At 47.6% G+C, this 21745-nt stretch overlaps 2 protein-coding genes and 1 long non-coding RNA gene across 49 annotated transcripts in view, besides 2 other annotated features; 2 read left to right on the top strand and 1 right to left on the bottom strand.

Moving 5' to 3' along the window:
- TMEM272 (transmembrane protein 272) overlaps window positions 1-11366 on the top strand; it is a 121020-nt gene extending 109654 nt beyond the window's left edge. For 4 of the 7 annotated variants that reach the window (XM_047430278.1, XM_047430280.1, XM_047430279.1 and 1 more), the window contains exons 4-5: window positions 2576-2658; window positions 7600-11366. In XM_047430278.1, coding sequence (XP_047286234.1) covers window positions 2576-2658; window positions 7600-7962 — 446 coding nt within the window. In that variant the 3' untranslated portion in view covers window positions 7963-11366. Of the gene's footprint in view, window positions 1-2575; window positions 2659-2749 lie in introns of all 7 variants that reach the window. The other 3 variants (NM_001351006.2, NM_001351005.2, XM_047430281.1) reach the window with 2 other exon arrangements.
- Window positions 10881-20877, bottom strand: LOC107984561 (uncharacterized). 2 transcript variants are annotated; one of them, XR_007063805.1, is made up of 2 exons: window positions 19912-20877; window positions 10881-11556 (listed from the first exon to the last, which is right to left on the bottom strand). It is a non-coding gene; the product is annotated as an uncharacterized LOC107984561 (long non-coding RNA). The 2 variants fall into 2 exon arrangements; XR_001749874.3 differs by lacking the exon at window positions 19912-20877 and adding an exon at window positions 17513-19584.
- Window positions 19670-19799: an enhancer, noted in NCBI's record as "active region_7782". NCBI's record gives its function as "activates an Ori minimal core promoter by ATAC-STARR-seq in GM12878 lymphoblastoid cells {active_cell/tissue: GM12878}" and the evidence as "EXISTENCE:reporter gene assay evidence [ECO:0000049][PMID:35858748]".
- Window positions 20350-20989: a silencer, noted in NCBI's record as "silent region_5377". NCBI's record gives its function as "represses an Ori minimal core promoter by ATAC-STARR-seq in GM12878 lymphoblastoid cells {active_cell/tissue: GM12878}" and the evidence as "EXISTENCE:reporter gene assay evidence [ECO:0000049][PMID:35858748]".
- DHRS12 (dehydrogenase/reductase 12) overlaps window positions 20550-21745 on the top strand; it is a 49310-nt gene continuing 48114 nt past the window's right edge. For 37 of the 40 annotated variants that reach the window (XR_007063698.1, NR_165332.1, NR_165330.1 and 34 more), the window contains exon 1: window positions 20550-20659. Coding sequence is in view for 20 of the 40 variants with exons in the window: in XM_047430637.1 (XP_047286593.1) it covers window positions 20604-20659 (56 nt within the window). In the remaining 20 variants the exon portion in view is untranslated. Of the gene's footprint in view, window positions 20660-20977; window positions 21171-21745 lie in introns of those variants that run through there. The other 3 variants (NM_024705.2, NM_001270424.1, NM_001377932.1) reach the window with 2 other exon arrangements.

The following is a 21745-nucleotide window of genomic DNA, read 5'->3' as shown; positions in this document are numbered from 1 at the left end:
CCAAAGCGCTGGGATGACAGGCATGAGCCACCGCGCCCAGCCAGTTATCTTTCAAATGAACTTAACTGCAACAATTCATCCACCAATAAGGCTGCATAAAAGAGACAAGACCCCACAAGCCAATTCCCATGGATATTATATTAAAATCACCACATCCACTGCGGAAAGAGGGTTTTGGAGGTGTTATTGCTTCTAGAGCAATATTGGTTATAGAGTTTGTGTTTGGGGTGATGAAAACATTTTGGAAATAGATAGTGGTGATGGTTGCACAAGATGATGCATGTAATTATGCCGATGAATTGTACACTTAAATATGGTTAAAATGGCAATTTTTGTTGAGATATTTTATCACAATAACAAATATTTTAAAAATCACTACATTTGGTAGTTGTTATCAACTGAACTAGGGAGAGATCTAAAACCAAAAAGAATAATCGTGATACTGCAGATCAGACAAGAAAGAAAATCTAGAGTTAAGGTAGGTCCTAAGAAGTACATGAGAACACAGGGGGAAAGATGGCTTTTATTAAATTTATTAGGATCGTTTTAAGCCATCTGTGCACTGATTGACTCTCCTGTGAACAGCAGCTGTTTTTATTCATTGGGAATGAGCAGATATCTAAGCCATTACTCAATGTTCATTTCACAGCTGGCTTTTGAATTGAAAGGCAGTCCATGTCCAACAAATTTGGCACCAAGTACTTAAAGGTCTTTGTGTGAAAAGGCTGTGTTGAGACTTGGAAAGTATTTCCATTTAATAACAAATTCACCTAAACATCAGAGATAACTAAAAGACAAGCCTCCATAGGTTGATGATTGGATCAACGTGTATATTTGACTAAACTCTGTTTTGGGCCCTGAATTTATGGCTCTCTGTATACCTAGAAAATTTTGTTCATTTCAATGGAATATGGTGTAGTCATAGAAAAACAGTTTACTCCCTCTGCTTAAGTATCAAGGCATTTATAGGGAATAAAATTCCAAATCAAAGCTAAAAGTCTAAATGTCATTTAAACAGGAGGCTTTGGTTCTACAGTAAGAATTCCCTTTCTTGGACTCTGTTGACAGATGTGTTAGTCAGGGTAACTTAACTGTGCTACAGCCACAAATTAACCCTGGAATCCCAGTGGCTTAACACTGTAAGAGTTTATTTCTTGCTTACGCAAATTCCATCATGGCTCAGGGGGCATGGGGACTTCTCAGGCAATGTGATGACATAATAGTCCAGTCTGCTTCAATCTTGAGAACAATCCATCTCCACCCATGGTTTCCAGGTGGTCAAAGCAGAGGAAGCAAACAACGAATCATGTATCAGTTTTTAAATGCTTTGGCCTGGGCTGGGCACAGTGGCTCAGGCCTGTAATCCCACGCTTTGGGAGGCCCAGGCAGGAGGATCACTTGAGCCCAGGAGTTTGAGAACAAGCTGGGCAACATAGTGAGTCCTTCTTCTCTACAAGAAAAAAAGAATTAGCTGTGCATAGTGGCACATCCCTGTGATCCCAGATACTCAGGAGGCTGAGGTGGGAGAATCGCTTGAGCCTGGGAGGTTGAGGCTGCAGTGAGTTGTGACTGAATCATGCTACTGCACTCCAGCCTGGGCAACAGAGCAAGACTCTGTCTCAAAAAAAATAAATGCTTTGGCCCCAAGGTGTCCCACAGCCCACTGGTCAGAACTGGTCACACTGCCTTGCTACCCAACAAGGGCACATGCTGGGCAGTCAGTGTCTCCCATAGCAAAGGTGTGTGTTAGAATTCATCTGGAGCTTGGTTGTTTGAGCCAGACTGGTCCCTGAGGGAAATGGGCATTTCTTCTTTATATGTTAAATAGACACATCATATCATTGGTTAATAGGTCTAGGGAACAAAGACCTGAGAAAAGTAGACAGAGCATTGCTTTGGGGAGAAAAACTACCATTAAGAAAGGGTAGACTGGGTAGGCTGGCTTGGTAGTACTCTGTATCTGGTAGCTAAGGATATGTGAGTACACGCGTGTTTCCCAGCATGGGGTCCAGCGAGTGGCATGGTCAATGGTTATCATATGGTGACTGTGACTAACACGGCAGAGGGCTTGCTGCACAGGGAGGAAGAGCGGCTCCTCCCTGCCACCTGGCCCCTGGAAGCAGAGTAGATGAGAACCTCATTCACGCAGAGTCACATTTTGGAAATGTGACTCATAAATTGAACCTTATTTTAAGCATATCAAGAAAACCGTATATTTAAAGGGATCCTTTGAATCCTGAATCCTTGAAAACTTGAGTTCTCATACACTGGCTATTCAGAAAGGCAGAGTGCAACCCATAGCCAGTTAATACCCAGAAAAAAGGTGCAGCGACACCTGGTCCCTGCCCTGTCTGCGGGAGTATTTATCGCCACTCCGCTGTGAGAGCCATTTCTGCGGTGTCAATCCACTGAGCTTCCTGAGGATCAGGTGACTGGTGAGGCTGAGCAGATCCCACAAGCATATGGTTTGCATGATTAACATTTTGGCTTTTGAAGGTGTTCCACTCATTTTCAAAACTGGGCTTTGTGCTCTCGAATGTATTTCTCTCAATCCTCTTCTGTTTGCCCTATGTAGGAATGAAATTTTTGGAGGACTGCCCTATACAGCCCCTCATTCCTTTATATTTGCTAGTGGGTGGCATCGTCGGTACCTTAAAGGTAAAGTATCTTTATCTGCTGTTTGTAGTCCTTGTAGAAATTAACTCACAGGCATCCTGTAATGCACCTGTTATTTGCCTGCTATTCACAGGGGAGACAAAACAACTTCCCCCTAAGCGTGGTTGCTGAAGTGATGGGGCTAGCTCCAGAGACACAGATTTTTCCAGATGCAGGGCATTTACCCAGGGCTGTGCATATTTGCAAGAGCTTCCTTCCTGCTGTTGAGTTCAATGTGCTAAGCTGTGGCTTTGGTCTGACAAGAGTTGATGCAGAGGAGTCCCTGACTGCCAGTTATACCATTGAATTCAGCCAGTGAAATCATGGTCTTTCTCTGCGCTGCTGCTGCTGCTGCTTTTTTTTTTTTTGCTTTTTTTTTTTTTTTTTTTGAGGAAAAAAAAGCTTCCTGTTGAAGGCAGGGTTTGCATTTGGTTAAAATATGTTTGATTTAGCAGTTCCTATTTCTGCTTTTAACTATACTTCCTAGTTCTCAATTGACTAACATAGGATTAATTGGCTGCAGTTATCAATCAACTATTAAAGTATTCTTATGCCTGAGGTAGGAGTGCTTCTCTGTGACTCTCAAGGTTATGTAGTTAATCTGCTCCTGGGCTGTATTGACATTTGTTTAAACAGAAAAAGCAACTGAAGAAGAAATATCAGGGGCGTGCATAGCCTGCAATTGTTTTCAAGATCCCTGGCCCACAGAAATGTTACACCTACCAAGAGAAGCTTAGGTCAGCCTCTGTCTATCAACAACTCTTCCCAGTCTTCCAAGCCCACCTCACCACTTTCTATATCAAAGCCAGAAAACACAAGCATCCATTTTCCCAAGATGGTTTCATAAAAACAAAGCCGTAACACAAGAGAAAACTGAGTCAAGAGTGCCAAGTATGAACTCTCATTCGGACCCAGTGTTGGGTTTCTTTGCCAGCTGCCTTCTGGTGCGGGGATCCTTGGAGAGATCCTGGCCAGTGGCGCTGGTCATGCTGTTGATCTAAGACATCAAAGGAACGTCTTGAAAATTGCTGTTCTCATATGCAATTGGTAGCCACAAGCTCAACTCTGTCGTGGGAGACGTCTGATTTGGGGCAAACCTTAGGAGGCTTTTGTGTTTGAGGTAACCTCACTGTTAAATGTCCCCATCTCCTAACAGCAATCTGGTGGGCAGTGTCCTAAAATGTACAAGTACACACAATCATCCCCATCACAACATCCCCATGGGATCTACCTGGGACTCTGTTCAGCTCCAAGAAAACCCAAAGGCTCTTGGCTCAGCGGGGCCACATTTTCCCCATGGCCCCCACAGTGTTAAGGGAAGGCTCTAACGGTTTGAGTGCCATAGAGATGCTTAAAACAAGGGCAGCGTTTTCAGCAGTAATTACCTCTGCCTCTCCTGTTCTCACTCATCGTCAAGCTGCCCAGCAGAACTTTCCTTTAGAGATGCTACTGTCCGTGGGGTCTGTTCCTCTTAAAAACAGCAAACTTTTCCTTTCTGAAAGCCAGCCCAGGACCCAAAGGTAATTTATTTTAGTGAACAAACTAAGGCCCTAATAAGCAGCATTGATTTTTTGCCCTGGCAATCTAAAACCGTTTGAAGCCAAATTAAATTTTTGTGCTCATGATGGCAAGGTAATATACAGTGAGTCCATAACCATTAGAGCAGCGGCAAACAGGATTAGAGTCCCCAGAGGCAGAAGTTTGCCTGTGATAATGATGGTTTGTATTCAACCTCAGAACCTGCCTAGGGGGTCCCAACATCCTTCGTGAAATGCATCAGATAGCTTCACAGTATTGCATTCTATGAAGAGAAACTTGAAGAGATGTGAGCTGACATTTCATGGAGCTACCAGAAAGAACTGAGGGTCATGCCCCATTAAAAGATCAGGAAATGAATTAAGTAGGCTGTGTGTGACCTGCTTTTTAAAAAATAAAATAGAAAATTAGAGTGCCTAGTAAGTTAAGTATTGTGTGATACTTACATATGGACATGTGTGTGTTTGGGTGAGTTGACCGTGTAATTTATCATCCTAACTGGGACACTTTTGAGAGTACAAGGGGGCTCTAATAATCATCCTGCCAGAGCAACAGCATAAACCAGGACTTCTCTAAGCCAACAAGGACATGCAGTTACCCAGTGACTAGGACCTGGCATAAAATGTATTTGTTACTGAGGGTCATGTTAAAAGACAGTTTCCAAAAGACGGATTCAGTGACCATTGCCTACCCTGCACTCCCCCTCATCTTCCCACATCACCCTTCCTAGTGGCAATTGCTACCCCTAGTAAGCATGTGCTTTTTGCTGATGCCATGCTGACGGCTCTGCCCTCATTTGGAATTCATTCAGTCCTCACCGTGCCCCTTTGAGGCAGGTACTTGCTTCAGGAAGGATTCTTTGACTACAAGGAACAAAAAATCAACTCTGGCTAACTTAAGAGGTCATTGATTGGAAGAGCTCACAACCTCAAAGGTTAGTGGGAGAGAAGGGGGCCAGGTGGCTCCAGGAAGCCTGGGCAGTGGGACCCACTTGCCACGGCTCTTTCCTTGGGCTGGTTCCTTTCTCCTGGCATCATTGTAGCCAAGAACCAGTCCTGGGAGGGCAGCCAGATCTGGGGACACGTGGTGGGTGGGGGAATTCCTCCAAGGAATGGGGCCCTGCAAGGAAGGGAAATGCATCTGAGTGATGGAAACTTGAGCTGGACTCTCAGTTCCAGCTTACAGTGAGGAAACAGCGAGCTGGTGTTCAGCCTGGGCTTTCCCAACCACACAGCCACCGTCAGCCAACCTACTACAGGCAATTGGTTTTTCCCCTACCCTAAACCCACCACCCTTCACCTTTGCCACACCACTCCCCCTCAGAGGAGGACCCTCGCACCTCTCCTTGTGCATAGGGGTCCCAAGTATGCCCCTTCTTCCAGGCAGCCCTCCCTGGATGAGTCAGCTCTACTGTGGGTGGCTCTCTGAACTCCCCCAAGGCCTCACTTTCCTTTTCTTATGGAGATGTTCTGCCTCCCAGCCGGGCTGCAAGTCTTAGGCGAGAACCCTCCAATTTAATTTCCTCCGATTTAATCATCAGTGTACTGTGGTGTAGACAGTGGTCAAAGAGGTGTGGACCACTGCCCTTCTCATTCTCTTACTCACTGTGGATCTCAGTGAAGTGACTTAACTTCTCTGAGCCTTAGTTTCCTCATTTGGGCAACAGAGATAATACGCGGCCCCAGGCTAGGATGGACATTAAAGATCACACATACCAAGCATTAAACTAACCACTCTCCTTAGGTTTTGTATCTTTACATAAGTAATAACTCTCCATTTTGGAAAATCAGAGAATGCAGATAAGCACAAAGAAGAAAATCAAAATCATCTGTAAATTTCACCACCCAGAGAAAATTGCTGTTGACATTTTGGCCCAATGGCTCCAGTTTTGGTCCTGCGCCCATGTTTATTTAGTACCTCTAGCCTCAGGCTGGGAGAATTCATTGAGATAATGTATGTCAAGCGCTTTGCCCAGCACCAGGGTCTATTTTTGTACAACATCCATTCCCAGAGTCACTATCACCTCCTCACGGGTAACCCCCAGATCTCTGCCAGGAGTCCTCACCTCTCTCTGTTCACCTCCAGGCTCTGACTCTGCCCCCTGTGGGCCACTAGACCCTGCATTTCCATCCAAAATTTTAAATGGAACAAGTCCAAATCTGGAGTTATCACCTACCCAAGGCACAGCTTGGGGTTCGCTGTTCCCATCTCTCTGTCTCTCTTTATTTTATCCTTGCTTCTCTTTACAGTTTGGAGCCCAGTTAGCTGCATCTCTTGGCTCCTGCTTGCCCTTCCATTTCACTCAAGCTCAGCATCTCTCCCCGCCTCTGCCAGTCGGCCACATCCTCCGTCATCCAAGGATTCTTTCTAATGCCCTGCTCTCCAGGGTTAGGGGTGCCATGAGTGTGGCCTCGGGAGAGATGGGTAGCCTAGGAAGCCAGAGAGAGCAGATACACAGGTCAGGCTTTCAAAAACATCACAGATCAAGTTGCTAGGTAGAGAAGACGGGGAGCTGTTAAGGCATTCCTTAGCAAAGACCACCTGTGTCCTTCCACCGCTGCATTTCCAGGGGGAAAGTGTGCTCCCCTGTGACAAAGGCATTTGTGGCCAGTTAGAGTCGGGTGGGTCGTGGTGCTTTGTGTAACCAAGTGGCAGCAGAATTTCGAAGGCGTGTCAGGCTGGAGTCAGGGACCATCTACCAGGGGCCCAGATGGTCTGTCCCCCAAGAGTATCACTCCCAGGACAAGGGTCTGTGCTCTTGACTTGAAAGATGTACGAGGACTGAGAGGGACTCTCAGTCCACAGCCCCACTTGGGAATTCCAGATGCCTGAGATGGGCAGTGGTACAAACTTCCAAGAAGAGAGAAAGCAGGCTGGGCGGGGCTGGGGTGGGGAGGAAACGGCTCACGGTACCTGGATTCGGCCAAGCCTGTTACATGGCCTGGAAGTACCAGGGAAAAGTCTGCTAGGGGTTCCTCCCAAGACAGAGGGATATATTTCAAGGTCCTCTAGCATGCGGACCAGGTGTCATTTTTACATTATGTGTGGGTGCAAATGTGCTAGCACAATACAGGAGAGAGTCAGTCTGAACCTTGATGCAGAGATGGGTTACCCCAGCCAATCCCTTGTCCAAACCAACTCACACATCTAAAAGGAAAACACCACTGAGGATGCTGGCGATGAATTTATGCCTTCATTCTTGCCAGTTTTAATTCTTATTCTTCAAATTAAATTTCGTTGCTTGATGGCATTTGTAACTCCAGTGTGTTGTTCACTTTTCATAACACCTTCCTCTCTCTCCTCTTTCTCTCTCCCTGCCAACACCCCACCACCGCTACCTTCTATCCCCTCTCTTCCCGTCTATTTTGCTGCTCTGCCTTGCCACCCTGGCTCCCCACCACGCCCCAGGTGTCTCTCCTGTTGTACGACTCCACCAGGATGAGGCGGCTGCTGTCCAAGGCCGTGGTGATTGATGACGATGACGATGACGAATACCCCTGGAGGCAGAATGCGCACAGATACTACATCCACCTCCTGCTGAGCCTCTTCCTCTTCCTCTGGTTCATCCTGGGAAACTACTGGGTCTTTTCTGTGTACCTGCCTGATTTTCTTCCCCCTTTCCAGCAGCCTCAGGACTACTGTGACAAAACCCTGTACCTCTTTGCAGTCGGAGTCCTGGCGCTCAGTCACACTGTGCTGGTCTTGCTCCTGCTGTGCAGCGGCTGTGTCTACCTGTGCTCCAGGTGGAGACTTGCTGCCGATGAAGACTGACAGCTGCCTTGTCCAGCATACCATGTATGCATATGCGTGTGCATGCACGCGCGTGCACACAGACACACAGACGCACACACACACACACACACACACAGGTTCAGAGAAGGGCATAAAGGTAATAAAACCTTCCCTGAAGGCATTTAAAAAGCCACCCAAAGGCACTGAATATAATAGCAGACTAAAGAAACTCTTGCCTTCCTAGACATGGGGAAATCACTTCTGCTCTTTTCAGAGTGGGAATTTTGTTCTCACAAGAGTTTTCAAAGGGATAATTGTTTTTGAGGGTATGAAGTGTGGGAGGCAAAGAATGGGAGACCTTTTCAAATCATAGTGCAATTTCAATGACTGGTGCAAGAGCAAGGTTGGTTGTTGCTACTGCTGCTGTCATTCAGCCATGGTCACCTTGAAGTTATAGAAAGTGCACAGACTTTCACACAAGATATATCTTAACTTCACTCGCTATGATGGCTTTTGTTATTAAAAGGAAAAAGATATTCTTTTAGTGACTCTAGCTGCCTTTTGGGAAAGTGAAGGAGCAGTCTCTTCCAGCCCTATATCAGATAGGTTTGACGTGATGGGTGGAACATCCCAAGGTCAGCTATAAAATCTAACAACGTCAAAGCAGTAGCTTCCACATAGGGGGCGGGCTGGCCTGCTACAGGCATTGCGGAGTGCAGCGCCGTGTGCACCGTGTGCCGCTGCTGCAGGTTCTTTGCTTGGCCTTGAGTCTGTCTCTGCCTCTGGCTATTCAAGTACCTCTCTATGATCTGCGGCTGGCTGGGTGGCATAAACCAGTTTTGTATGTTTCTGGACAGGTTGCATGAGTTGGGGTGCCGTCAGTGTAGCTGTTTTTGGTTTCTGAGCTTAAATATCGAATAATAGCTCCTCAACCTAATGACCAGTTAGGCTTTGGAAGCCTTTTGTAAATTGAGATGTCTGGAAGTCCAGGATGACACCGAACAGTGACCACTAACCTTCCCTCTGGCTGCCGCTGTTGAGAGATGAAGTCCAGGTCTGTTGTCAGTGCTCGCTGGGGAGCCTCTTTATGAGCAAAAAGTCCCATGTTTTAGAATTTTGTATGAAGATACTGTCATGAGTGTTTCTAGGGCAGTGCCCAGGGGTGCGTGGCACCTGCTTAACCGTGCTTCTCTCAGCCACGTGCATAGCATTTCTGTATATTTACACACTGCTGAGCTGTGTTTATTTTTTAACTTTGTTATGTTTTCGTGCTTTCTCATCAAACCAATCCCTGAGTGGCCATGAATGGAGGCACCTCCCTTCATCAGAAGTGTCAGCTCAAACCAAGAGGCTCATTCTTCTCCGTAGCTTTAAGAGAAAGGCCCCGTGAGTCCCATGGGGTCTTCCCATTTCAGTTTAGAAGCACTCCCCGGGCAGTCACCGTTAGTCCCCCTTTCCTCCCAGGTGAGAAGAAAGTGCTTGGTGTGCCATCTGCTGGACAAAGGAAGAACAGCCCTTTTTTTGCCCCTGTCCCTAAGGGCAGTTTCTGTTTTCATTTTCACTTGAGCCATGGCAGAAGACCAGCGGGTGTGCAGTTTGCAGATCCTACCTCACCTATGATGCCCAATTCCATCCTCACTGTGTCCCACGTTGCCCTCTCTGTGTTGGGGACTGGGGAGAGTCTGTGGGCTATGATACTGGGGTGGACAGGAGTTCCATGGGCTCCTCTCCCACCCTCCTTTCCCCAGTCCATGACTCGTCAGCCATTCCCAGTCACTTAGCCAATGCTTGGACATCTGTGAGCAGCAAAGACCTGGGCCCAGGGACACCTGCATGACTCCCACATGAAAGCCTCTGAGGCTTCTGTTGCGAGGGCCTTGGCAAAGGCGGAAAGAGCTGTGAACAACCATGGGCATGAAGATTTCTGTTAGCAGATGGCAGGTACTGGTTAGTGCTTTGGATACATCAGTAGCTAGGTCTCAAACGTTGGACATTCCCAGTTTCTGGTAGGCATGAGTATCACCAGAGTGTTGCAGAAATCTTTCCCAGAGGGAGTGGTGGATGAAGTGTGCTCATTCTCATATGCACCCCACCAGCCCACCCCCAGTTGCAATGGAGAATACTGGTCATAGGTCCTAAATAATTGCTAAAATCTGGACTATATTTTTAGCTTTGAGTTTTCTTGTCACCAAAGCAGTAAGGAAGAGGTGATGATCTCTTTGTATAGGTCATACATCTTCCCTGGTTTGAGGTTACAGTGAGCTATGATTGCACCACTGCACTCTACTCTGGGTGACAGAATGAGACCCCATCTCTAAAAAACAAAATTACCCCCTTCTGGGGAAACAGGTTAGATCCTAAAGAAAATGTTCATGTGCATCCATTCATAGAGGGGACACTGAATGGTTCAGTGGGTGACATCTTCAAGCGCAGCAGGCTTTGAATGATAACTGATTAAGGCCTCCCTCAGGAGATGGTGAGATGGTTATGATAAGGCACATTTCAAGAAAGAGGCTCTGGGGCTAAGTAAGGCAAATGGTCTATAACTGTGGTTCTTTGAAGTCTGGCTTAATCCAGGGATGACACCCAGACTGTCTAGGAAGGGCTGAGCTGCGTGCCCTTTAAGTGATCACCTCTTAGTATAATTTCACTGAGCTGGAGGTGAGTGTAAGAAGTTCCTGGTTATAGAAGAAGTTATAATCCTTGGCATGGCCTGAAGTAGGCAGTCCACACTGATATGAAATGTGCTGTGTATACCTGGAGAATGAAAATGCCCATCTAAGACTGGCCCAAGAGCTGGGCAGCCTTCCTCCATGGGAACCTGGCAAGGCAATGGGAAGTGGACATGGGAACACCTGAACTTTCTGGATGCTATGAAACCTCAAGGGAACAAATTATGTGGCAGAGAGGGATAATCTGTTCTTCCCATCTGAGAAAAGACTGCAGCAAAGATAAACTATATGTTGAGATCATTTTATTTGCTACATCGGGCATCATTCTAAAAACCATTCTTTGCCTGAATCTATATAAATGACAGTTGAAAGCAGTAAAAGTGGGACTGTTTCACTGGAGTCAGCCACACTAGTGGTTCTCAAATCTTGGTGAACCCTGAGAGCTACCCAAGGACTTGTTTGCAATGCAGAATCACAGCCCCCAGAGACTGACTTGTGGGGCCCAGCTGGTTCTGATTCGGTGGCCAGAGAAACCGCATGTGTGCACTCGGGCCACACATACAGCCTGGACTGGCTTATGTCAGGCCCATCCTGGTTGTCACCATGAGGACAATATAATGTCACTTCCAGTACTTCGTGTTATTTCCTTCTCTTTTAGTATGAGAAGTGGCCAAGTGGTCAATAGCTTTCATCTTTGTGTAACTGAATCTTGTGCTTCATTTCCTTCTGGGCATTTTTCATTGTTGATGAAATAAACTTTGTTCAATTTGTTCCCCAGTGTCTTCCTTGAATACCCTGGGGGAAGAGAATCCTCCAGTCCTTGGGATGCTTCATTTGTTCTTTCTTCCAATGGGATTTCTGAGGGTAGAAGACTGTGTCCACAGAAGCTGACAACCTGTTCTAGGCAAATTTTGCTCCATAAAACTCATAATCCTCATAATCCTCAGGTGAGTAGATGAGTCTGTAGTGGAGAATTGAGAAAAATGATCTAACAGAAAATTCTTCTTAGTAATCCTAGTGATAATTTATCTTTTATAAGTATAGAACTAATAAGACAACTAGTCTGTCTTTTCTAGAGCTAGAATTTCAGTAGTTCACTTTTCAGGTTAGCCTAGCATCACAGCAGCTACGTTATCTTGGATATCCCAGGAGACAGCATTTTGCCATTGCAAGCAGAAGAGAAATAAGAGAAGAGTGTTTCCAAATACATCTGTTGTTTTCTCTCTCTCTTTTTTAAGAGATGGGGTCTTGCTCTGTCACTCAGGCTGGAGTCCAGTGGTACAATCAAAGCCCACTGCAGCCTTGAACTCCTGGACTGGGGTAATTTTCTTACCTCAGCTTCTTGAGTAGCTGGGACTATAGGCATGCCACCGTGCCCAGTCAGGTTTTTTTGGTTGGTTGGTTTTTTGTTTTTTGTGGGGTTTTTTTTTTAAGAGATGGGGGTCTCACTATGTTGCCCAGGCTGGTCTCAAACTCCTAGCCTCAAGCAGTCCTCTTGCCTCAGCCTCCCAAAGTGCGCAGATTACAGGCATTAGCCACCTCACCCAGCCCTGTTGTTTTCTCTAAGACACTTCCTTTGTTATACTGGTCAGCTTTTAAAACTTACTGCATTGTTCAGAGAAGTAAGCTCTGCTTCATAGGCAAAGGAAAAGCAACTGGGACTTGCTGCTGGTATTAAGAGTTTGCACATACAGCATGTTCCCAAAAAGGCTTGTGACTCAAAACGTCCCTCTGTTCTGATTACTTCCTACTTACCCTATTGGTGAGGGAGGGGTCCCTGTCCTAAATAGTGGGAGAAGCCCAAATGCAACCCTTCCCCCACTGGACAGATGTGATGGACAGCAGCTTATTAGTCACTAGACTCACTGCCTGGGGGAGGAGGACACAGCATGTTATGCAGGGCCACATGGGGCTTGCACTTGGGAACAGAGTGGACCGGCAGGGGCCGTGGGGGTCATGCCTTGTAGTAGCAAGAGGACCAGGTAACCCTGTGTTCCCATGGGAGGAGTTTCCTGTCTTGCTTGAGTAATTTCACAGACGGGCAGTGAGGGGAAACCCATTAGGTTGGTGGCTGGGTGAGTGGTGGTGACTGACAGGGTACTGGTCAGGTGGGAGACCTTGCCTGCTGGGTCAGGGGCATGCCTGGTGAGGGCAGGGGAACTCACAGAGGAACTCACAGTTAAGCCCTTGGGCCTCTGTGAGGCTCAGAGATGTCAAGGCAGCCCAGAGAATTGTAGGCCTTAGAATACAGCCTCCTAGAGCCACCCCTGCCTTTCTTTGGCCTTATTCTCTGGGTTATCTAGTCCTGGGTTCAAATCTGTCTTTGAATTTCCTCAACTTCTCAATGCCGGAAGGGAGATATAATCAGTGGTGAGATATACATTGCCAAGGAAGTGAAAAAAATAAAAAAGTCTTCTTGACCACTAACAGTAGCCAGATCAGAACCCTCGCCGCCTGCTTCCTGAGAGCAGGCTGGCACATCCTCTTCTCCAGCCTTCCAGTGATTTTCCCACCACTGCAAAAGTCTTGCTGTCTGATCGGACTCTTGCAAACTGATGTTTTTTACTCTTTATATCTTTTTTTGAGTATTTAAGCTGCTATTTAATACAATGTCCTGTAGCCTGTACCTTCCCATAGCCATCAAAAAGAAAACAGAAAAGAAAAACATTTCCTACATCAATTTACAGTTTATACATTTGTTTATAAGGAAGCCAGTTTGGGTTCGATTCCCAAGTCACTGGGGAAAGGGGTTGAAGCCCAGATTCCCCTGGGATCCCTTCTGGCAGCCCAGCGTCCCCTCCCGCCCCCAGCAGCAGGTGCTGGCGCTAATGGCGCACACCTGCACCCTTTTGTGGGGGCCGCCTTGGTTGACTGGAGCCAGCTGGAGCCTGAGAGTTCTCCCCGCTCCCAGTTCACCCCACCGACAGCCATAGCTAAGGGCTGAGTCGGGGAAGAGGGAGGAAAAGCCCAACTCCCTTGTTTCAGGGCAGGTCAAACTTGAGGCATTTATGCACCAGAGCTGCCCGCGGGATCAGGTGAAAGCAGGGCTTCGTGGAAAGCCACATCCTTTCCCAGCGCTTCCCTTTCCCCAGTGCTTCCTCCCTTACCCTAGTTCGTTTCTCCCAAGGCCACACCCTCAACACATCCCTTATCCCAGAGCTTCATCTCAGACTCTGCTTCCAGGGAAGCCGGCCTAAGCCAGGGTTATTTCTCCACAGCTGGAGGCATGACATAAATTACTAGTATATCCCCTTTTACAACCCTTTTTATTTTCCTAAAATGACAATTTTAAAGCTTTATTTTTATTATAAAAGTGATACATGCTATGGCTAGAGATTCAAATCGTGTAAACGAGTATGAGGTAAAAAGTAAAAGATTTGAAGCACCCCCCCAACTCCCGGTCCCCAAAAAGGTACCCAGTGTTAATTCTGTAGTATCCTTTTGGAATATGTCTATGTATCGTTAAGCATAAATATAGGTACTTTTTACCTACATTATGTCGGACTAGGCTGGGCGTGGTGGCTCATGCCTGTAATCCCAGCATTTAGGTAGGCCAAGGTGGGCGGATCACGAGGTCGGGAGATTGAGACCATCCTGGCTAACATGGTGAAACCCTGTCTCTACTAAAAATACAAAAATTAGCTGGGTGTGGTGGCGTGTGCCTGTAGTCCCAGCTACTTGGGAGGCTGAGGCAGGAGAATCGCCTGAACCCGGGAGGCGGAGGTTGCAGTGAGCCGAGATGGCACCACTGCACTCCAGCCTGGGCAACAGAGCGAGACTCCGTCTCAAAAAAAAAAAGAAAAGAAAAAAAAATTATGTCAGACTATTCATATTATTTGACAAGCTGCATTTTTCTATTTCCTGGATCATGGATTTCTTTCCATTACCAGCGCAGAGCTCTGCCTCAAACACGACTAATATGTATTCATAGGACTTATTTTAAGAGGCTCATCCTCTGTAACTTGCCTGGTCTCTCATTTCTGTGAATCAAAATGGGAAAAGCAGTAATGTGAAACTGTATTTTGACAAATGAACAGCTGAGAGGTCAGTTTGAGAAACTGTTTGCCATTCCTCCTGTCGTGTACCTAAGTAGGCCCCTGGCTGAACTGGGCTCCTAGGGAAGTTCGTTGCAGGGCCTTTGGATTAGGCACATGATGCACCTGAGGGAGACTCACCTGGACGCGACGACTCATCGAGCTCCTGAGAGGAGAGAGGTTGATTAGGGTGGATGCTATTCTCTATGTTCCCCAGGAGTGTGAGAGTCAACAAAATCCCACCATCACCAAGGAAACCATTAAAAAATCCCAGCACTTTGGGAGGCCGAGGCAGGCGGATTACGAGGTCAGGAGATGGAGACGATCCTGGCTAACTTAAAAGTATAAAAAATTGGTCAGGCGTGGTGGTGGGCACCGGTAGTCCCAGCTACTCGGGAGGCTGAGGCAGGAGAATGGCGTGAACCCGGGAGGCGTAGCTTGCAGTGAACCGAGATCACGCCACTGCACTCCAGCCTGGGCGACAGAGCAAGACTCCGTCTCAAAAAAAAAAAAATCAAAGCCACCTACTTAAGGACCAAACTATCCTTCCAATATCGTGTGATTGTGTGAATACCTACAACTGAGATATATTCGGCAACAGATACAAGACGGAAGCAACACCTGAATATTGCAGAAGGTATAAAATGTATGTTGTTACATAACAAAAATTAATAATGTACCACAATGAGGTGCAATCTCATACGCATCAGGATGGATGCCATTAAATAAAAAAAGGAACGAACTCTGAAGATAACAAGTTGGTAAGAATGCGGTGAGCCGGAGCCCTTGTGCAATACTGGTGGGAACATAACGTGGCACAGCAGCTATGGAAAACAGTAGGGAAGGTCCCCCCAAAATTAAAAATAAAATTGCCATATCACCCAGCAATTCCACTTCTGGGTATACACACAAAAGAACTGAAATCAGAGTCTTAAAGAGGTATTTGCACACCAATGTTCATATTAATATTATTCACAATAGCCAAGAAATTGAAGCAATCCAAGTGTCCATCTATGGATGAATGGATAAACAAAATGTGGTTTATACACACAATGGAACACTATGCAGCCCTAAAAAAGAAGGAAATTCTGAAACTTGCTACAACATGGATGAACCTGGAGGACATGTTGCTAACTGAAATGAGCCATCCACAAAAAGGCAAAGTGTGATTCTACTTAGATGAGGTCCCTAGAGTAGTCAAATTCATAGGGATAGAAAGTAGAATGGTGGTTACCAGGGGCTGGGGAAGGGGGCAATGAGGAGTTCTTGTTTAATGGATACAGAGTTTCAGTTTAATAAGATGAAAAAGTTCTGAAGATGGATCGTTGCGCGGCAATGTAAATGTACTTAATATTGAACTGTACACTTAAAAATGGTTAAAATGGTAAATTTTATGTTGTGTGTATTTTACCATAGTCAAAAATAAAAATAAGTAATGTATTCCTCAGTCCTCCCAAGCCTCCACAGTCGCTCAATATTAAATAGCTGGCCAGTGCGGGGTCATTTGGTCATTGTCTGCATATGCAGGGCCAGGCTGCAAACCCAGTCTCACTCTTAGTGACTGCAGTGCTCAGCATCCAGCTCTGAGTGCCACTGGCTTAGGGGTTTGGGAGTGGGAGGAATCCTGGTAGAAAAAACTGTGGGAATTATAAGCTACCCTGTCACACCCAAGAACAAATCAACCAACCGAAAAAGGGGAGGGGACAGTAGTGGAAATTTCCAGTCCCACAGAAGTTACTAAAAGAAGAAATGAGGAGACACCACCATGGGACATGTCCCTCGTCCTTACAGAGAAGGGGTTAAGCATGTGGCATCTGGACCCAGACCGTCAGGCTGGGATCCTGGCTCTGCCCCTTTCCAGATGCGTGTGATCTTGGATGTGCCACTGAAACTCTCTGTGCCTCGTTTTCATTGGTAAGGAGATTAAAACAGTGCTTGGCACATAGTAGGTAGAGCATTTGTTAAATAAGAGAAAATTTTCTTTATTTCACTCTCATTACAATGCTGTGAGGACTGTACAGTTATGCTCCTCTGTAGAGGGGAAACTGAGGCTCACGGAGGTAAAGTGTCTTTTCTGAAGATGCCTCAGAGCTGAATGTGGGCCTTCTGACTCTCTATCCCAGTTCTCACCTTGCGTCTGCATCCCTCTCCCGCCTGTGTAGGTGGCCCTTCTCCTGAGGCCAGAGGTGGGTACAAGGTGGTACAGAGTGTGGGTAGGGCAAGCTACAACCACCTCACCAAGCAGCCTGCATGCCCTCGCGCTACTCCTGCCCCAGGCACCACTAGAGAAAGCCCACGGCTTTTGCACTCAGAACAGAACTTGCTTGCCGTAAAACCGAAGCCCTAGAAGCAGGCTGCATGAGAGTTTAAGACGAACACGAGTCCCGTTTGTGGAAAATCACTTTCTCCATCAACTTGGCTACATGGAGACTGACCACCCTGGCTTCACTACTGCCCCACTTTGGGCCCATCTCACTGCCAATGTCTGCAGTCCTTGGAGGGTGCACAGGGCTGGGGAAAGTAGATCTCTGCATGTTTTAAATCTAAGTAAGTGATTCATGCACATGGTACAAAATTCAATGGCACAGAAGGCATTCAATGTAAACTGAGTCTGTCTCCCGCCTCGGCTCCCCACTGCCAAAGTTCTGGCCAGAGGCCCACATTGTGATTAGCTTCTTGTGAAAGGAAGGAAACCCCTAAATCCAATTGATTTGTTAGGTAGGAAGTTGGTTCAGATGGGCAACAGACAGCCCTGGGTCAAGCCAGTCTGTAAAGGATGATGGGCACCGAGGGACATGGGGAGGCAGCTGGAAGGGCCTTTCTACACGGTGACTGTGTCAGCTGCGGAGTGGGGAGGAGGGTGGGCTGGTATCTACCACATACCTCTTCCCTGTGCTGCTGCTCTCTTCTGCTAGGAGTGAATGCCAGAAAGCAGTCGCCTTGGGTTTCTGATAAGGCTTTTGTGATTGAGGCTGGGATCCCATGACCCGCCCCCCACTTCTTGTCATTAGGAAGAGCCCAGTTCCTTAATCCATGTACAGGTAGGGTCAGCACCTGTGCATGGTCCACACTGAAAAATAAGGATCAGCATCAGAGACCTTCTTCTCCGCTCTCTGCCTCATCCTCTCTTCCTTTTTGTTCCTTTCCCTTCGCTGTCATTTCCATTCCCCACCCCCAATTGTACACTAAACATGTACATGAATGGTGCCTAGCTTCCTATGAGTTTATGACTTATGGTTATTCATCTTAATAACTAAGTGGCTTTGCCAGGTAAAATATTAAGGCACCATTGCCATTATGACCTTGTCTTCCATGATCTCATTGGCAGCTGGTGTTGCCATGACAACTTGGCTAGAGGAACTGGTATGAGCTTCAGTGGAAGGCGATATGAACACTGGTTGTGTGTGTGTGTGTGTGTGTATATGTGTGTAAGAGAATACAGACTTCTCATCATGTGTATCTGTTGTGCAGAAAGCCATGGGTTTCCACACCTTCTGCTTCTCCTTCCATTTTGGTCAAAATTAGCCTCAGGGATCTAAATCAATTGGAATGGAACTCTGGGGGATGATTTCTTTGTTTGGCTTTTTGAGTGGCAAATTGGAACCAGGAACACAGAAGAAATATTTTAGTGGCTTTCCACCCCTGGGAAATGAAGCAACCCTATCCACTTTGACGTTTCTCTTAAAAGCACCCTGGGCCTAACTTATTTAGCATCCATATGTAATTTTCTTAGTAGATGTATAGAAAGTTGGAGCTGAAAGGAGCCCTGGGTGGCGCCTAGTCTGGCCCCCTTTCTGTTCAGATGAGAAAAACTGAGGCCCAGAGGCTAAGTGACTTGCCCCCATTTAGTATGATGCAGCAGGGAAGGTGTGGGCTCTGGAATCATACTACCTGGTCTCAAAGCCTGGCTCCACCATGTATTTACTGTGACCTGAGTCAAGTTATGTAACCTCTCTCAGTTTGCTCATCTGTAAAATGGGGATAATAGCAGGAGTAACCATATGGATCAGTGTGAGAATTAAGTGCTATAATCCACAATGCTTGGCACACTTTAAGCCTTCTATACATTTTATCACATGGGTCACACAGGGAATAACTGGCAGAAATTGGACTAGAATCCAGCTCAGCTGACTCCAGTTAAACGGGAACATTCCCTTGTGAACTCCATACTGCCCTTTGTTTGTGTGTGTGTGTTACTTGGCATCCAGGTGAGAGTGGAAGCTCATTTTGAGACAGGGTTTGGCTTTTCCTAAGACCTCCTCTTTAAATGTATATAATGTATACACTAACTACCTCGTGGATGCTTGATTTGAGGCTAACACTGGACACCTCATGCCCTCATGGAAATTTCTTGAATGTACACTGCATGGCTGTAAGCGCAGGGGAAAAAGGAATGAGAAGAAAACTTAAGGAGGGAAACCAACACTTCTGATCACTTTGTATGAAACTAAGCTCTTTATAATGAATGCCTTTAATCACAACCACCCCACGAGGTGCGCATATTCATTCCCATTTTACATATTAAGAAACCAAGACTGAGGGTGTATGCAGCATGCTCAGGTTCACCTGGCTAATGCAGAGAGCTGGGTTTGCAGCCACACTTTTACTTCAAGGGGCTGCTGACACCCTCCAAGAGACTTGGTGGTTCAAAACTATTTCTCATCCCCTCTCTGCGAGCCAAAAGCCTATTTCCTGAGGTGTTCAGAGAGATTCAGAGCAGATTGACACCTTTTCCATCACTGACACAAAGAGGAGGGTATAAAAAACAGTATGTAGCCCTGGGGATCTAAAATATTTTCCCAGCCAAATCGGACAGGCATTGAAAGTCACACAGGCTGGGGTGGTTTTACAAAATGCCACTTGTTTAAATTTCCTTTCATCACTCTGTCAGGAATAACAGCAACGTAGTGGAGCCTCAGAGTCCTGTTGAGAGGGGCGAGCTGTTCCGGGGAAATTTATTTCAAAAGTTATTCTGAAGTAAAAACTTGCCCACTGTGGAGTGAGGTTGGACAGTGATCCTATATCCTAGGTAATGAGGCTATTAAAGCAGCTGGTCTCTTCAGCTTATGTAAGTGGGGCCCAGTCTCTGGGCGACTTGGGTAAACCGGTATAGAATTTAACAGGGTGACTAGGAGTGACAGCAGCAGTAAGACCCCCATTTCTAATGTGGCGTTAGGGCTGGAGGTTAGATGTGGACAGGGGTGTCTGAGTCCTACATAATGGGGCTGGATGACTAGTCTGAGATCTGGGTTCACGCAGCAACCACACTCTTTTTTACTCACACTGTTCATCTGGGCTTGGGTGGAAAGAGGCTGATGAGGATTTGGGGGAAATCAAGGGGCTCTCCCTGGCATTGCATGAAGTCGCAGAACCAGTGGCAAAAGTCCAACTTTGGAGACAATTACTTCTCGGGTGGGAGCCCCAGCCCTGCCTCTTGCCTGCGATGTCGCCAATCTGACTGCGCTTGCTGGAGACGGGAAATGTGGCACGGCACTGCATCCCCCAACACGTGTAGAAACTTAGAGAATGCCAGTTATTAAAATAACCCTTATGATAACACCAATTCGATGCAGAAGTCTTTTAAATATCATAAGCCTCGTCGTTTTATTCCACATGGTTTTCTAGGTAACCAAATTCTAGGAGGTGCGTTGCAGGGCCATCTTCGCATCCCGGCCATGCCCAGCAGGACGGTGTTCTCTAAACGGCGCTGATGCCCGATTTCGACCCCGAGGAGACTGCGGACCTCGACTGCGGCCCCCACCAGGGCCGGTCCGCCCTCACTCCACCCTCTGAGGCTGGGGCGGAGTCGACCGGCCGGCCCCGAGACCCCTTGCCTTACCGGTGGAGCAAGGAACCGGAAGCCGCGGCTCTTACATAACCGGGATGATGTCAGGGCGGGCGACTCCCGGGGGGCGGGACCAGGGCGGAGGCCGCGCCGGGAGCGCGGTGGGGCTAGGCGTGGGGCGCTCCCGGCATGTCCCTGTACCGCAGCGTCGTGTGGTTCGCCAAGGGGCTGCGCGAGTACACCAAGTAAGGCGGCGCGGCGGGGCGCGGGGCCCCGGGCTGTCACGTGGCCCGCCTCGGCGCGGGCGAGCAGGGTTGGCGGGGACGCGCCCGCGGCTCCTTCGCCCTCTCGCTGGGCCGACTAAGCGTGTCCAGAACGACGGGTGCGCCCGCCGTCTAGCGACCCACGGCTGGGCGTGGGGCAGTCGCCAGACTCCAGCCGCTCAATGCCCGCGACCGAGACTGGCGCCCGAGGGGCGGGGCTGTGGCGCGCCCAAGCCCAGGGCCGTCCCACTGACGTCAGGCGGCCCCGGCGCCAAGGAGCCTCTTGGGCGGCACCTCGGCGCCCCGCTGGGTGTGCTCGTGGAAGTGTCTTCGTGGTGCTGCTGGCGGCGTCAGATAGGGCTGGATCTAAATCGCTAGCTAAGGCTCTGTCCTAGTGCCTTTGGGTGTGTTTCCTTTAAAAAGATGCAGCACCTGGACTGCGACCTTTGGCTCCAGCTGGAACTTTCCAGCCAGTGTGTGCTTCTGGGGAACGGTGCGTGGTGGTTTCGTCGCCCCGTGACCACGCTCAGTGTGCCCTAGTTGGCTCTCCACCTCATTGTGGTTTTAAGAGGTGACAGGTTCCTGTGACGGAGGAGAGATGGAGGTTTTCTCTTAGAATTGATTAGGCTAACCGCTGGTTCTCAACCCTGTCTGCACATCAGAATCACTGGGCGAGAATTAAAAGTACCCAGTTTTCAGGCCCCATCCCTACAGATTCTGATTTAGTGGATCTGCACAGGGGCCTGGACTGGCATTTCATCCAAATGCCCCAGGTGATTCTCACCTCTGAGAGGCTTCTCCCTGCACTGGGGCTTTATCAGTTCCCACGGCAACCTGGCCAGCACTCCTAGGGGAGGTAGGAGTTGCAACTCCCTGCTCTTCACCCCACATCGTTTTGGAGAAGGTTCAGCTCTGTCTCAGGAGCCCCTGCTGCAGAGAATGGTGGGGAGTGTAGTCGTGAGCCCTGTCCCACAGTTTTTAGGGGAATACAGTGGCAGCCTCTTTCTTTCAAAGGGGTGTCCTCTGGCAATGACCATTAATTGCTGGATCTTTCCACATTACACAGCA

Source organism: Homo sapiens, chromosome 13 (assembly GCF_000001405.40).
Source record: "Homo sapiens chromosome 13, GRCh38.p14 Primary Assembly".
NCBI classification, from domain to species: domain Eukaryota; kingdom Metazoa; phylum Chordata; class Mammalia; order Primates; family Hominidae; genus Homo; species Homo sapiens.
Note: the sequence above shows the minus strand (reverse complement) of the source record. Positions and strands in the feature narration are given on the sequence as shown.